Raw genomic sequence first — 13,677 nt, forward strand, 5'->3', positions numbered from 1 at the left:
CTTAAAAATGAGAAATTTTAGAACAGATCAAATGATGGTACAGAACACATTTTGGGCATGTAACAAAGATGATATAAAGAGTAGAAAACAAACATTATCATAAACAAGCTGATGCTGAATAAAGCAAGCATATTGGATGAATTTCCAAAGATGATGATGCAAAAAAAAAATTGCAGAGAGAATGAGATGTTATGAGAATTGAGAAATTAGATGTTAATAGTAAGTAGCAAAGAGAACTTCGAGCAAAGTCAACAGAGTAAGTCACATTACCTAATCAATAACTGTAAACCACAATTATTATACCATATCTTATTTGTAAAGCATAATAAAGTATTATTTTCTGTAATAAAATACCAAATATTTGTAATAAATTTTATGTAATAAAAAAACGTAAATAATTTGACACAGTGCTAAGAGGCTGACTAATGCAAAAACAGGCTGAGAGAAGCAAGGACTGGAGAGGAAAAAGGAAAAGGAAAAAAATAGGACAAAAAGGAGGACAACACTAAGAAATCAATCAGACCTATAAAAATGGGTAGGAATAAAGAGGTGTGAATGCACAATGGACGACTAGCCAAAAAGTGCCAGTAGTGCAAGCGCGAAAAGAGCCAAGTGAAACCTGATGGAATCTTGACAGCTTCTGGGCTCAGAAAACAAGTAGCTCCAAAGTGTCCAGGAGGATTTGTGAAGATAACAACAGACAACAATGTTAGGGAGTGGTGAGATCAAGTACAGAGCCTCAAGAGGACCAGGGTAAGAGAAGTGCAAAAATGCTCTTAAGTGGGAGCTGGGGTTAGAAGGCAGGCAGGTCCGACAACTGGAAAATGAGCGGGCGGTAGATGGGAATAGAATGGGGGTTACCAATCAGCGACAGAGCGCTGACAAACATTAGGAACAGAGGACCAGAGACCAGAAAAGGCATCGGAAACTGCGATTTAGGATTGAAAAAGTAAAGACTAAATCAAAATAATTTGCTGGGTAAAACAGGTGAAGAGAAATCCCCAAATAGAAAAGTGAAAAAGGGCAGCGGACTGAGAAGGGGGGCAGTCCGGGAGAGGAGAGAGGAAATGATGAGCCCCATCATCCCCACGACCATGTAAGAATTACACGCGACAGTAACTCGGGCTGTTGTCTCAGCCCCAGCAACTAACCTATATCCTCCACGTCGAGGCCGCCGCCGCCCCCACCCCACAGAGATGCAGAGCTGGATACTTCAGCCAATCGTGACCTTCTCGGACCAACCCTGAGTTTCGCCCCCTATTGATAGCCTCCCGCTCAACCACCGCTGCCCCAATCCCCACATCTGGGGTGGGGGCCAGGGAAACCCCCCGGGCCATTGTGTGTGTTTACGTAGGAAGGCGCTGCATGACGGAGAGGGACACGGGGGCGATGCCCACCTCCCAGCCCGCGGAGCTGGCCCGAGAAGGTGGCTGAGGGCATCAAGCCCCCACCGCCGCCTCTTTCCAAAATAAACACCAGCCAGCCGCCGAGCCCGGAGTCGGGAGGGCGGCAGGGTGGCGCCAGCACTCACCTCCTCCGGAATGGCAGGGTCCGCAGCCGAAGAGGCCGCGGCGCCGGCGCCGGCGCCGGCCTCGGGCTCCATGTCCCCGTTGAACAGAGCCTGGCCCGGCTCCGCGCCGCCACCACCGCCACCGCTCAGCGCCGCCATCTTATAACCGAGAGCCGGGGCCCGAGCGGCCGCTGTCGGGCGGGGAGGGGGAAGGGAGGCGGAGAGCTGGGGGAGGCGGAGGCGGAGGCGGAGGCGGAGGAGCGGGGGGCGCGGGGGGCGCGGGGAGGAGCGGCCCGGGCGGCGCCGCGGGCGGAGGGCGCCTGGGCCACCTCAGGTACCGGCCCGCGGCCCCGGGCGCAGCCGAGCCTGAGGGGATTGGGGGAAGGACGCTAGGCGGGGGTGCGGGGGGGAGCGGGGGAAGGGGGCGGAGACGACGAGAAGTCGCCGCGGCAACGGCGTCACCCGCGTGTCACGGTCGTGACGTCACCCCGGTGCGTGACGTAATCTGAGGCGCGCCTTCGCGCCGTCGTCCGGGGAGGGTTTTTTCCCTTCTAACCACCCGCGCTCTCACACTTTGCCTCCGCTCCGCCGTTTCCATGGCTCCGGTTTCCTACTTTCCTCTTGTCTCCTCCGTCCTCAGCCTGTTCTGTAATGTGGGATTTACTAGAAGAGCAGGGCTGGTGTTCGAGGAGGAGAAGTTGAAATCCTAGAGGGAGGAAGGCGGGGAAGCCAATACTACTTGCTATTTCCACTGCAATGAACGTCTCTGTGTCATCAAAATAAGAACTTCAACCCCAAGGTTGAAACAGCCAAGCAGAATTTGATGGAAATATATTTAGGAACAGCTAAATTAGCAGTGCGACGCGTGTTTTCTTTTCATTGAAGAATTCAGCCAGTTAAAACGAGTCTAAATGGAAGTCTGAAAGCTTTTTCTTCATTGTTGAGGAATAAAATATTTCGTGTATTTTTCGTTTTCCAGATTCATTCATTTAACAAATATCAGTTGAGCACTTTCCATGCCGTAGGGCCTGTACAAGGCACATAGCATTCTAGACATCTGAAGCATCAAAACTAATCATTTTTATTTTGAAGAAAATCACTCAAAATATTTTATGTACTTTGTGCCTTTCATGAACAGAATATTCCAAGCATTCTCTGCAAAATACGCATGAAAACAATTGGGAGAGAAGAGGTCAATTATCTTTGAGAAGCCCAATTACAGAATGAAATTCAATTCATTATTAAAAATACATGGATCTAATAAAGAATAAATAATTGGAAAAGAAAAGTTTAAGGAAGAGAGAAACGGGAATGAGAAACAATTACTGTGGGCTCCCAATGGCCTGGAGTGAATCACCAAAGTAACCTAAACATGAAGTCATGAAAAACTAAGTGGATTCTGCCTTTTAGTACTTCCCATCATGGGGGAAGTCACCAGCGACCTCCTTACTGTATTTTGGATGATTCAAGAAATAGAAAGGTGTCCTACTGACTTCTGAAACAGGGTGTCTTCATATTGATTAGGGTCACCGTAAGCCTGGGAGCTGATGCTTACTCTCAGGTAAAGGATGCTGTGTGAGGCTGCTTGATGAATGAGAATACTAACATTCTTCTGCATTGAAAAAATATAACCTATAAGATGAACATTGTAGGCCGGGCGCAGTGGCTCACGCCTGTAATCCCAACACTTTGGGAGTCTGAGGCGGATGGATCACCTGAGGCCAGGAGTTTGAGACCAGCCTGGCCAACGTAGTGAAACCTCATCTCTATTAAAAGTACAAAAAATTAGCCTGGTGTGGTGGTGCACACTTGTAATCCCAGCTACTCAGGAGCCTGAGGCAGGAGAATCATTTGAACCTGGGAGGCAGAGGTTGCAGTGAGCCGAGATTGCACCACTGAACTCCAGCCTGGGCAACAGAGCCAGACTCTGTCTCCAAAAAAAAAAAAACATGAACATGGTATGCTTTGTTAACTTCATTGTACATTCTCCTCCAAGTAGGAAAGTTTCTATGAGGAAATAAATTTAAATCAAAAAGTGGCTTGGCAAATGTAGAGTAAATGATCACAAGGGATGATGTCATCAAGCTAAACTAATCTGAAGCACCCTTTACTATAAGGACATACTTAGAAGCAGACTGAAATAGCACCATTAGCCAGTCATGGCACCTTTTCCCCTTTCATCACCCTTTCATCACCCTTTCATCAGAAACACAACTGGCAAGATTTTTGTTAATTCTCTAACTGTCCTATTTCATTTTTAAAAAATTAGCTGCTAAAAATGTTATATCATTATAACACTTCCTTATAACATTAAAAGTTTTAAAGGCTTTTATCCTCACATTGGTTCCATTTTGAATTCTAGCCTTATTTGTCAGTATCAGTCTGTAGTTCAGATCTTCCATGATTATTTCTCCACAGGATGACTGGTCTCATCCATTTAATATTGATTCTTCTTAGCGTTCTACTCATTTGACATTTTCTGACCTTGCCTTAAAATTCTGGATATATCCTGTTTTACTTCCTTAGGCCATTCTAAAGTCCTACAGTATCCAGATGAGAAACGAGAGAAAGCATAAGCTTTGGAGTCCAAAGATCAGGATTTTAGCGTCAGCACTCCACACCTTAGCTATACAATCTCAAAGCAGGTAAGCTTAAATCCCTGTTTGTTGTTTTGTTTTTTAATCTATAAAATGAAGGTTATAATAATGCTAGCCCAACCTGCCAAACTATCATTGTGAGGATCAAACATTATACTTTCACCCTTTGAAAAATATAAAATTACCCTCTCAGTCAGAATTCAGACAAGGCATAGCAAAGATGGCTTATCTCTGCTCCATGATGTCTGGGGCTTCAGCTGGGAAGACTCAGTGCCTGGGGGTGTCTCAATGGTTGAAGACTGAAATCCTTTGGAGGCATATTTTCTGACATGGCTGGTGGTTGAAGCTGGGACCTCAGATAGGGCAGTCAGCCAGAATACCTAAATCTACTCTTCATGTGGCCTGAGCTTCCTCCTAGCATGGCTGCCTCAGAGTAGTCAGACTTCTTACGAAGCAGCTCAGGGCTTCAAATGCTAGTGTTTCAGTAAACAAGGTTAAAGCTGAATTGCATTTTATGATCTAGCCTCCAAAGCCACACAGCATGACTTCTGCTGCATCATTTTATATTATGAGCAAGTCAGTAAGTCGGGCTCAAATTCAAGGAGAGGGGATATTGAGCCCACTTCTCAATGAAGTGTCAAAGAATTTACAGCCATGTTTTAAAACCACCACGTCATGTTTAAAATAATAAACTGGCTATCTGCAGCCGCACACAAACCTTCTTCCAAAGCGTTCTACACCAGTCAACTTTCTCTCCTCTTTATTACTAGTAATCACCAAGACACATCTCAGTATTTGGCTGTGTCCCCACTCAAATCTCATCTTGAATTCCCATGTGTTGTGGGAGGGACCCCATGGGAGCTGATTGAATTATGGGAGTAGATCTTCCCTGCACTGTTCTCATGATAGTGAATGAGTCTCACAAGATCTGATGGTTTTAAAAACGGGAGTTTCCCTGCACAAACTCTCCCTTTGCCTGCTACCATCCGTGTAATACGTTGACTTGCTCCTCCTTGCCTTCTGCCATGATTGTGAGGCTTCCCCAGCCACAGCCATGTGGAACTGTAAGTCTAATTAAACCTCTTTTATAAATTGCCCAGTCTCGGGTATGTCTTTATCAGCAGTGTGAAAATGGACTAATACAGTATGCTAATGAACAAGCCCTTACCTTCTTTTTTCAGCTTCTGAGGCCTCCACTGCATGCATAAATAGATACAAGTCCTTTGCCATTGGACACAGCCTGTCTTCTGAGCACCTCCCCCAAACCCCCAGTGCTGCCATAGGCAGTGTTGATGTGCTGAAACCCTCTACACAAAACAGTGTCCCTGCAGCCCATAGCCCATAATGAGCTAAGCTGGTGTGTAGTCTGAGCCAAAACTGAACACCTCCCTTTTGTGTTGTAATGTGCCATATGGGCATCAAAGCAGCATTATCTTGCATTCTAAAGTCTTAGAGACATTTTAATCAACACAGCTCTTTTAGGTTTTCTTCAAAATCCCCTTTCGCCCTAAGGCATTCATGTATTCACAGGAAGTTGGAAAACAAATCTAGGTGAGAGGTACTGCTCAAGCATTGCTTCAGTTGATGACTGAGACACTATTCAGAGCTTTACTGCCAGGTCTGACCCTTTCTTCCCCGGACACAAGTTTATTTCCTACCAGCATTTCTATCTCGAATCTTGCATTCTATTTTAATGGATGCTGGAGAGTCCCACCAGCCAGCCAGGCCTGCCCAGCCAGGTCTGATCCCACACTGATATGATCAACTACTGGAAAACAAGCAAGCAGCCTCTAGGAAGCTTCTGCAGTGCCAACCAGATTCAATGATGTATAACTGATCATAGTTCAATATTTTCTATATGAATCAAGGTCATTATTATGAATAACAACACCTCCTGTATTGTTTAATGGAGGGCTGCTTCCAGAAGCTATTTGGGTGCGAACAGAAAATAGAATTATAGAGCTGATTCAGCACAACTCTCCCACTGAGAAATGCTCAGAAACCCCTTTGTGGAATTCCAGACTCTGTCTAAATACTTTAATGATGGGGACCTTACTAATATAGTACATCCAACTCTAACAGTTTCTGAAGTTGAATTGAAATCCTCCTCTTTATGACATCTATATTCTGGTCTGAGTTTTGCCTTCTAGAGGAACACAGGATAAGCCTATTTCTTATTCTGTGTAACTGCTTTTAAGTGTTTGAAGGAAACTGTTTGCTTTAGCATTTTCTCTCCCGAGCATTTTCTCTTCTTGCTGTATACTCTTTTCAGTGTTCCTCTTAAAACATAGACCTATAAATTGAATACCGTTCCAAATTTGGTCCTTGCAAATTTGGTTTCTTGCAACCAAATTTGGACAAAACAAACTACAAGTAAATCTTTAACTTTATTTAGAAGGTTTGTTATTGATAGCAATATTGGTTTTGTAATTCTGAAACAATTTTGTGTTTATTGTGGAATAGAACTGAATGAGTACATATGTTAAAGTTGGGAATCAGGGTTTTTACTGTGGAAAAAGTGAGAAACAAATATAGAACAAGGGAAATTGAAGAAGAATGCTTTGGTGTTGTATTTGAATTTGAGGTAGCAATATGAACATAGGAGTGTGTGTGTGTGTGTGTATTCATGTATTCTTAGCTCTGCCCATTGAAAGGGGTGCTTAGGAGTAACAATAAGTATACCTGGTACCTGCATCTTGATTTTGAAATGCCATTCTCCACTAAAAGTAACCAGGGCTCCTTTGAGAAATGGCTGATGCCAGATCTGGGGCAGGAAATTTATAAATTGAGCTTGCATATGATGAGCCTTGGTATACTTGAGAGCAAGGACTTTATTAAAGACTACTAGGTCATGTCAAAAGGAGCCAACTACAAGACCCCCATTGGTCCAAAATGGGACAATAGAAAGATAAGAAATAATAATGACAGGAATGGGTTGCAATATATTTAATTATTTTAAATCCGTAAGTCCATAGTAATGAGAGAGAGAAAGAGATCGTGTGAAAGAAAAGTGTTGAAAGAAAGGTAAGAAGTGAAGTTTCTTTTAAGGATGAATTCTAGTTACTATAGAAAAAATGAATGACGGATTTAGAAAAATGACTATTTTGCGACCGCCAATATAAAAACTACTCCAGATCAGAACCATCAAGAGTTGCTAAAAGTATTATTGGGTGAAAGATTTTTGAGGTATAGGACAGTCCCATGGCTTCATAGTACCATCACACAGACCTTATCAATTACAAAGGGAGATGCTACCTTTAAAATGGAGAGATGTGGCAGTCACCTCAAGCTAACAAATTTAGCATCACAAACAGGGATACAGTTGAACATTACGTAAGTGCTTGTGCAAAGCATCACCTATGTAGTGCAGGTATTTGGGCCAAAAAGATGCTTAACCTGAATATAATAAGGAAATAGTCAAATCCAGAATGTGGGACAAGACAAATCACTCTAACTCTTTAAAAATTCAGTATTATGAGGAACAAAAAAGTCAAGCAGAGGGGATTATTCTAGATTAAAAGAGATTAAGGAGATGTAAGAACCAGATACAATGCATGAAACAACTGAATCCTGAATAAGAAAATAAACTACAAGGATATTTTTGGGACAATTGGGGAAATTTAAATATGGGCTGTATACCAAGTTATCATTTTGAGTTAATGGTAATTAATTTAATTAATGTTCTTTATTTTATGAGGAAGTAGTGTTTAGGGATGAAATATCATGTCTTCAATTTTTAAGTAGTTCAGAAAAAGAGACAGAGAAATAAAGAAAATGTGATAAATATTAACAATTGGGGAAGAAAAACGACTGGAGAATCTAGATGAAGGATATAGTAATTGTTTGTAATGCTATTCTTTTTTAAATTTTGTAAAATGTTTTGTAGAGACAGGCTTTCACTGTGTTGCCCTAGCTTGTCTTAAACTCCTGGCCTCAAGCAATCCCCCTGCCTCAGCCTCCTAATGTGCTAGGATTATAGGCACGAGCCACTACATCTGGCCCTGTAATACTATGTTTTAAGTTTTCTGTATATTTGAAATTTTCTCAAAAAAATCTGAAAGAAATTTTTCTTTTGTAATATAAAAATAATATACATTTATGGTATTAAAATGTTGTATTGAGTTTCTAAAGGAATGTTTCTTACAGACAATTAACAACGTGTTAGGTATCTATTACTGTTACTATTGTATTGTTACCTTTTTCTTGCATTATCTGCCTAAACTCTATTCCTGATAAATCTACTTTGTAAATGCTTTTTGTTTTCTGATACTTTGGAATTAAACCGTGTTGCATCATGATTCATAGACAATAAGAGTCTGCAAGACAATATTTTTTTTTTTTTTGAGACGGAGTTTCACTCTTGTTGCCCAGGCTGGAGTGCAATGGTGCTATCTCAGCTAACTGCAACCTCTGCCTCCCAGGTTCAAGCGATTCTCCTGCCTCAGCCTCCCAAGTAGCTGGGATTACAGGCATGCACCACCACACCAGGCTAATTTTGTATTTTTAGTAGCGATGGGGTTTCTCCATGTTGGTCAGGCTGGTCTTGAACTCCCGACCTCAGGTGATCCGCCTGCCTCAGCCTCCCAAAGTGCTGGGATTACAGGTGTGAGCCACCATGCCCAGCCAAGACAACATTTTTTATGGGTTTTGATCAAGTTTTAATAAGACCTTGTAATGTATCTCTACCTATCAAGTAGGAATTTTCCCATATATTAAATATAGGTATATTATTCTAAGTGTTTATATGGAATACGCTTTTTTAATTATAAACATTTACAGCAAAACCTTTCCTGGTTTCTTCTTAAAATATTTTTATGGTGTCCCCTAGTTCCATTTTTTTATTTCCTCAATTATTCAACAAATATTTATCGCATAGCTACTGTGTGCTGTGTGCCAGCTACTGTGCTAGGCTGTTTATATAATCTGAACAATGACAGTCTTAGATTTTTTTTGTTTGTTTTAACATTTATCATTACTGTAGGAGAGCTTTAAATACAGTACACTGTTAAAGAGTACATATCTAATAGTACCCCCACTTTTACAGATACCAGAACTTCTCTTTCTGTGTGTGTTTTTTGTTTTTGTTTTTGTTTTGAGACGGAGTCTCCCTCTGTCGCCAAGGCTGGAGTGCAGTGGCACGATCTCAGCTTACTGCAACCTCTGCCTCCCGGGTTCAAGCAATTCTCCTGCCTCAGCCTCCTGAGTAGCTGGGATTACAGGCGCACGCCACCATGTCTGGCTGATTTTCATGTTTTGAGTAGAGATGGGGTTTCACCATGTTGGTCAGGCTGGTCTTGAACTCCTGACCGTGTGATCAGCCTGCTTCAGCCTCCCAAAATGCTGGGATTACAGGCGTGAGCCACTGTGCCTGGCCTGTTTTTGTGTGTTTAATATCTCTGATGCCGATTTTCAAATCTGTGCTTTGCTCTTGTGTTTGATCCTTAGGTATAGATATGTTTTTATGAGATCTTGCTTCCCACTCCACAGAGAAAATATAGGCTGTAAGATATGAACTCTGTAGCTTCAAATTACAACTATAAACTTCTATGCATTTTTGTTCATTCTTACCTCCTTTTCTGCCTCACAATATGAAGTGTTGCTCCTCTTTTTGCATTTGATACTTTTGGCTGTTTCCTTTTTCTTGAAAATATCTGTTGCTTTAGATGTCATGATGCTACATACTCCTGCTTCTTTTCTTGAAGGCCAGTTCTTTCTCGGTTTCCTTAATGGGGTCAGTTTTGACCATCTGCAGTTTAACTGTTGGTATAACACGGGGCTCCATTCTTTGCCTATTTCTTTTCTTACAGAACTTGTCTCAGTCAGTTCAGGCTGCTATGGCAAAGTACTACAGGCTGGGTGGCTTTAAAACAACAGAAATGATCTCTCAGAGTTCTTGAGGCTAAAGTCTGAGATCCTGGTGCCTGCATAGCCAGGTTCTGGTGAGGGCCCTCTTCTGTGTTACACTCTGCTGTCTTCTCGTTGTGTTCTCATGTGGCAGAAAGAGGACATGAGAGCTCTCTGGGGCCCCTTTTTATAAGGTCACTAATCCCATTCATGAGGGCTTCATCCTCATGACCCTCCCAAAGCCCTTACCTCCTGATATTGGAGGTTATGACGTTAACGTATGAACTTGTTGGGGGGGAACACAAACATCTGGTCTGTTGCAGAACTCCTTCTACCCTCTTACCCATTCCATTGGTTTTATTTACAATAATGTTTTCCCTGGCCTCAACCTGTTGTATCCAACTACTTACTAGATGTCTGCACCTGAATATATCACAAACACTGCCAAACTGGCAAGTCCCAAGCTGAGCTCTACAATTCCCACTTTCTGCTTCATCAGCTATTCAACCTGTAATTTTTAAAAATCTCAGTTAGTTACCACCTTTTAACTTTATTATTTAAAGACAAATACTAATTCTATCCTTTATTCTCTGTTGCAGATATAACATAAATCTCTTTCATTGAATCCCTGTAATCATTTTCAGTAATTGAGTTCAGCTACTTCAGAAGTTTTTCAACAGCACTTTGGTAAATGTATATGTCTTCACTTTCACATCTTTCCACATTAGGTGTCCTCTACTGAAGGAAAATATGAATATTTCCCTTTTAAAACTCTTTTATTTATTACTTTGATACTTCTCTGGCCATCTCAGTTGCTCCTGGGTTTGAAGTTCTGGTTTCAGCATCTGCCTTAATCATTTCCTTATGCTTTTAATAGCTCATTATTAGATAATATAGGCCAAATATTAATTTAACATTTTATAGCTATATCTGATTTAGATTGCTAGTATATATGTCAATCACAGTTTATATATTTTATACATTAAAGTAACCTAATGGCTTGGGAGGCAAATATTCTAATTACTCAGAGATGCATATATATATATATATATATATATATATATATATATATATATATGTATCTCTCTTACATTATTCAGAATTAGTGTGGTTTTGTAGATGGCACTTTTCATATAAGAATTTCTCTTCATAAATATAGGCTGGGTGTGGTGGCTCAAGTCTGTAATCCCAGCACTTTGGGAGGCCGAGATGGGAGGATCAGTGTAGGTTAAGAGTTTGAGACCATCCTGGCCAACATGGTGAAACCCCATCTCTACTAAAAATACAAAAAATTAGCTGGGTGTGGTTGGCACCTGTAGTCCCAGCTACTCGGGAGACTGAGGCAGGAGAATGGCTTGAACCTGGGAGGCAGAGTTTGCAGTGAGCTGAGATCGGGCCACTGCACTGTAGCCTGGGCGACAGAGCAAGACTCTATCTCAAAAAAAAAAAAAAGAATTTGTTTTCATGAATATAAACATGTCATGCCTGATTTTGTACAGGACAATCATTCACTCTCTAGGAAAAGTTATTAGTGACTAAAATAATAGAAGAAGTTGGAGGTTAGGAAATTCAGAAGCCAGGAGGAGCCCTGTTACTTTAAGGAGAAGATTGACTATTTTATCGTTTTACATTTCATGTTATATAATACATTTTGGACATAAGTGCAGTGGATTGTTTTGGATGAGACCAGGCCCAAAGATTTTTGAAATGTTGAAGAGAAGATGTGGCTAAAACTGCCTTTAAAATTTATAAGCAGGAGACTTCTCAGTGGGAGCAGGGCTGTGGTGGCAGCAGCCAGCCAGGCGAGACTCAACCTGAACCTGAATTTTACTGCTGCTGGCTTATAGGATATTGAGAAATTCAGGCAGCAGCTTCATGCTATTAAAAGTTTTTGAGTATATAGATCAAGGTTGAAACTCCCAACCCTATACTGAAGAGTACTTATAGAAGTCTCTAGCTAAAAATAAACAAGTTAAAGGCAAAATGGACACAATAAAGAAATTTAAAAGCCTTATGCTTCAAGAATGGACATGGCTAAGAATTGAGCCACCAAGGTGGGAATCATCCATCTTCTTAACTAGCTGATTTTTACCAAGCCTGAAGGTACCCATTTATTGCCCTTGCTGAACCGACATGCCCGTTACAAAGTATTTGTGAACACTGAATATTAAAGTTTTCTTGCTAATGTGGAACTGGAACAATTACTTCAAAACCATTATAATTTTCCTCAAGGCATATGTCCTTGTAATTTGACCTTGCTGGGTGCTGGAAACTTCAAGTTATGGGAGATGTGAAACCAGTTTTGTTTTCTCTGTCCCTGAAAGTTTATATTATTGTCATGTTTTCAGGTACAGGCAACTTCACATCTTTGGGTGTGATTTATTTAATTACTCTCCATGGGAAAATCGGTCCTAGGAAAATCATTTTGGAAATATGAACTATGCTTGGTAAACTAAAGAGTTTTAAAAATTAAAAGTTACAACTCTTTATTTTGAGAATGGGTCTAGATATAAGCAAACACTGAACCCTGTTTTTCCTCAAAAAATAAAGTCATTGTGGCTGGGTGCTGTGGTGTGTGCCTGCAGTCCCGGCTACTCAGGAGGCTGACACAGGAGAATCACTTGAGCCCAGGAGTTTGAGACCAGCCTCAGCAATATAGCAAGATCATCCCTGATTGTATGAAAAAATTTAAAAATTAGCTAGGCTTGGTGGCACGTGCCTATAGTCCCAGCTACTCAGGAGGCTGAGGCAGGAGGATCGCTTGAGCCAAGGAGTTTAAGGCTGCAGTGAGCTGTGATGGCACCACGGCACTCTAGCCTGGATGACAGACCTCATCTCAAAAAAATAAAAATAGGCCGGGCACGGTGGCTGACGCCTGTAATCCCAGCACTTTGAGGGGCCGAAGCGGGTGGATCACGAGGTCAGGAGTTTAAGACCAGCCTGACCAATATGGTGAAACCCTGTCTCTACTAACAATACAAAAATTAGCCGGGTGTGGTGGTGCGCACCTGTAGTCTCAGCTACTCGGGAGGCTGAGGCAGGAGAATCACTTGAACCCGGGAGGCGGAGGTTGCAGTGAAGCAAGATCACACCACTGCACTCCAGCCTGGGTGACAGAGCAAGACTCCATCTCAAAAAAAAATAAAATAAAATAAAATTTAAAAAATAAAGTCATAATCAAAATAACCACATAAATGAAGTGTTCTGACTTAGATGCATGCTACTTTGTCTTTTTGGATGGAGGTTGGAGAAGGCATGTGGGGATGTTTGTGTGCTAAGTGTTGTGACAGAATATACGAAAACAGTTGCTTACTTCTATGGCTAAGGCAGACTCTCTGGTTGGTAGGGAGCTAGTGCTGAGAGAAGCTTGCCAGAGATGAAAAATGAATGGAGAGGAGAAGTCAACAGGGCACTCTGTGAGAGACCTCATGAGGTTTGGGCTTGAGCACCTGGGAAGCAAAGTGTCATGAATGGAGGGAGCAGGCCTTTCTCCCCATATCCACACAGGACCCAGCCCTGTTCTGGCAATGTGCAAACAAATGGCTCTGCAAGTATCAGGGGGCTACAACCTTGGCCTGATAGTGCGGAGCCCACAAAGGGTGCTGTCAGCATTAGTGTCAGTGATCCTCCCTCAAGCAGTGTCAAGGGCAGTGGGCAATAGCCAGGGCCAACCAAAGTAGAAGAGAAAGAACATGGTGGTCCTGAGTGGGAAATGGCGTGAGAACA

General features: G+C 42.0%; 1 protein-coding gene and 1 long non-coding RNA gene across 19 annotated transcripts in view, besides 1 other annotated feature; one reads left to right on the plus strand and one right to left on the minus strand.

Annotated features, from left to right (window-relative positions):
* Positions 1–1,895, minus strand: part of BRAF (B-Raf proto-oncogene, serine/threonine kinase) — a 211,602-nt gene extending 209,707 nt beyond the window's left edge. For 15 of the 18 annotated variants that reach the window (NM_001378474.1, NM_001378470.1, NM_001378475.1 and 12 more), the window contains exon 1: positions 1,532–1,895. In NM_001378474.1, the coding sequence (NP_001365403.1) occupies positions 1,532–1,669 (138 nt within the window). In that variant the 5' untranslated portion in view covers positions 1,670–1,895. Of the gene's footprint in view, positions 1–1,151; positions 1,235–1,531 lie in introns of those variants that run through there. The other 3 variants (NM_001378472.1, XM_047420766.1, NM_001378473.1) reach the window with 1 other exon arrangement.
* Positions 1,718–1,787: a silencer, noted in NCBI's record as "silent region_18716". NCBI's record gives its function as "represses an Ori minimal core promoter by ATAC-STARR-seq in GM12878 lymphoblastoid cells {active_cell/tissue: GM12878}" and the evidence as "EXISTENCE:reporter gene assay evidence [ECO:0000049][PMID:35858748]".
* The window catches only part of LOC105375536 (uncharacterized), a 68,680-nt gene continuing 57,060 nt past the window's right edge, over positions 2,058–13,677 (plus strand). The window contains exons 1-2 of the long non-coding RNA XR_002956518.2: positions 2,058–3,468; positions 4,037–4,155. This is a non-coding gene — a long non-coding RNA (uncharacterized LOC105375536). The remainder of the gene's footprint in view (positions 3,469–4,036; positions 4,156–13,677) is intronic.

Source organism: Homo sapiens, chromosome 7, assembly GCF_000001405.40.
Source record: "Homo sapiens chromosome 7, GRCh38.p14 Primary Assembly".
Taxonomy (NCBI): domain Eukaryota; kingdom Metazoa; phylum Chordata; class Mammalia; order Primates; family Hominidae; genus Homo; species Homo sapiens.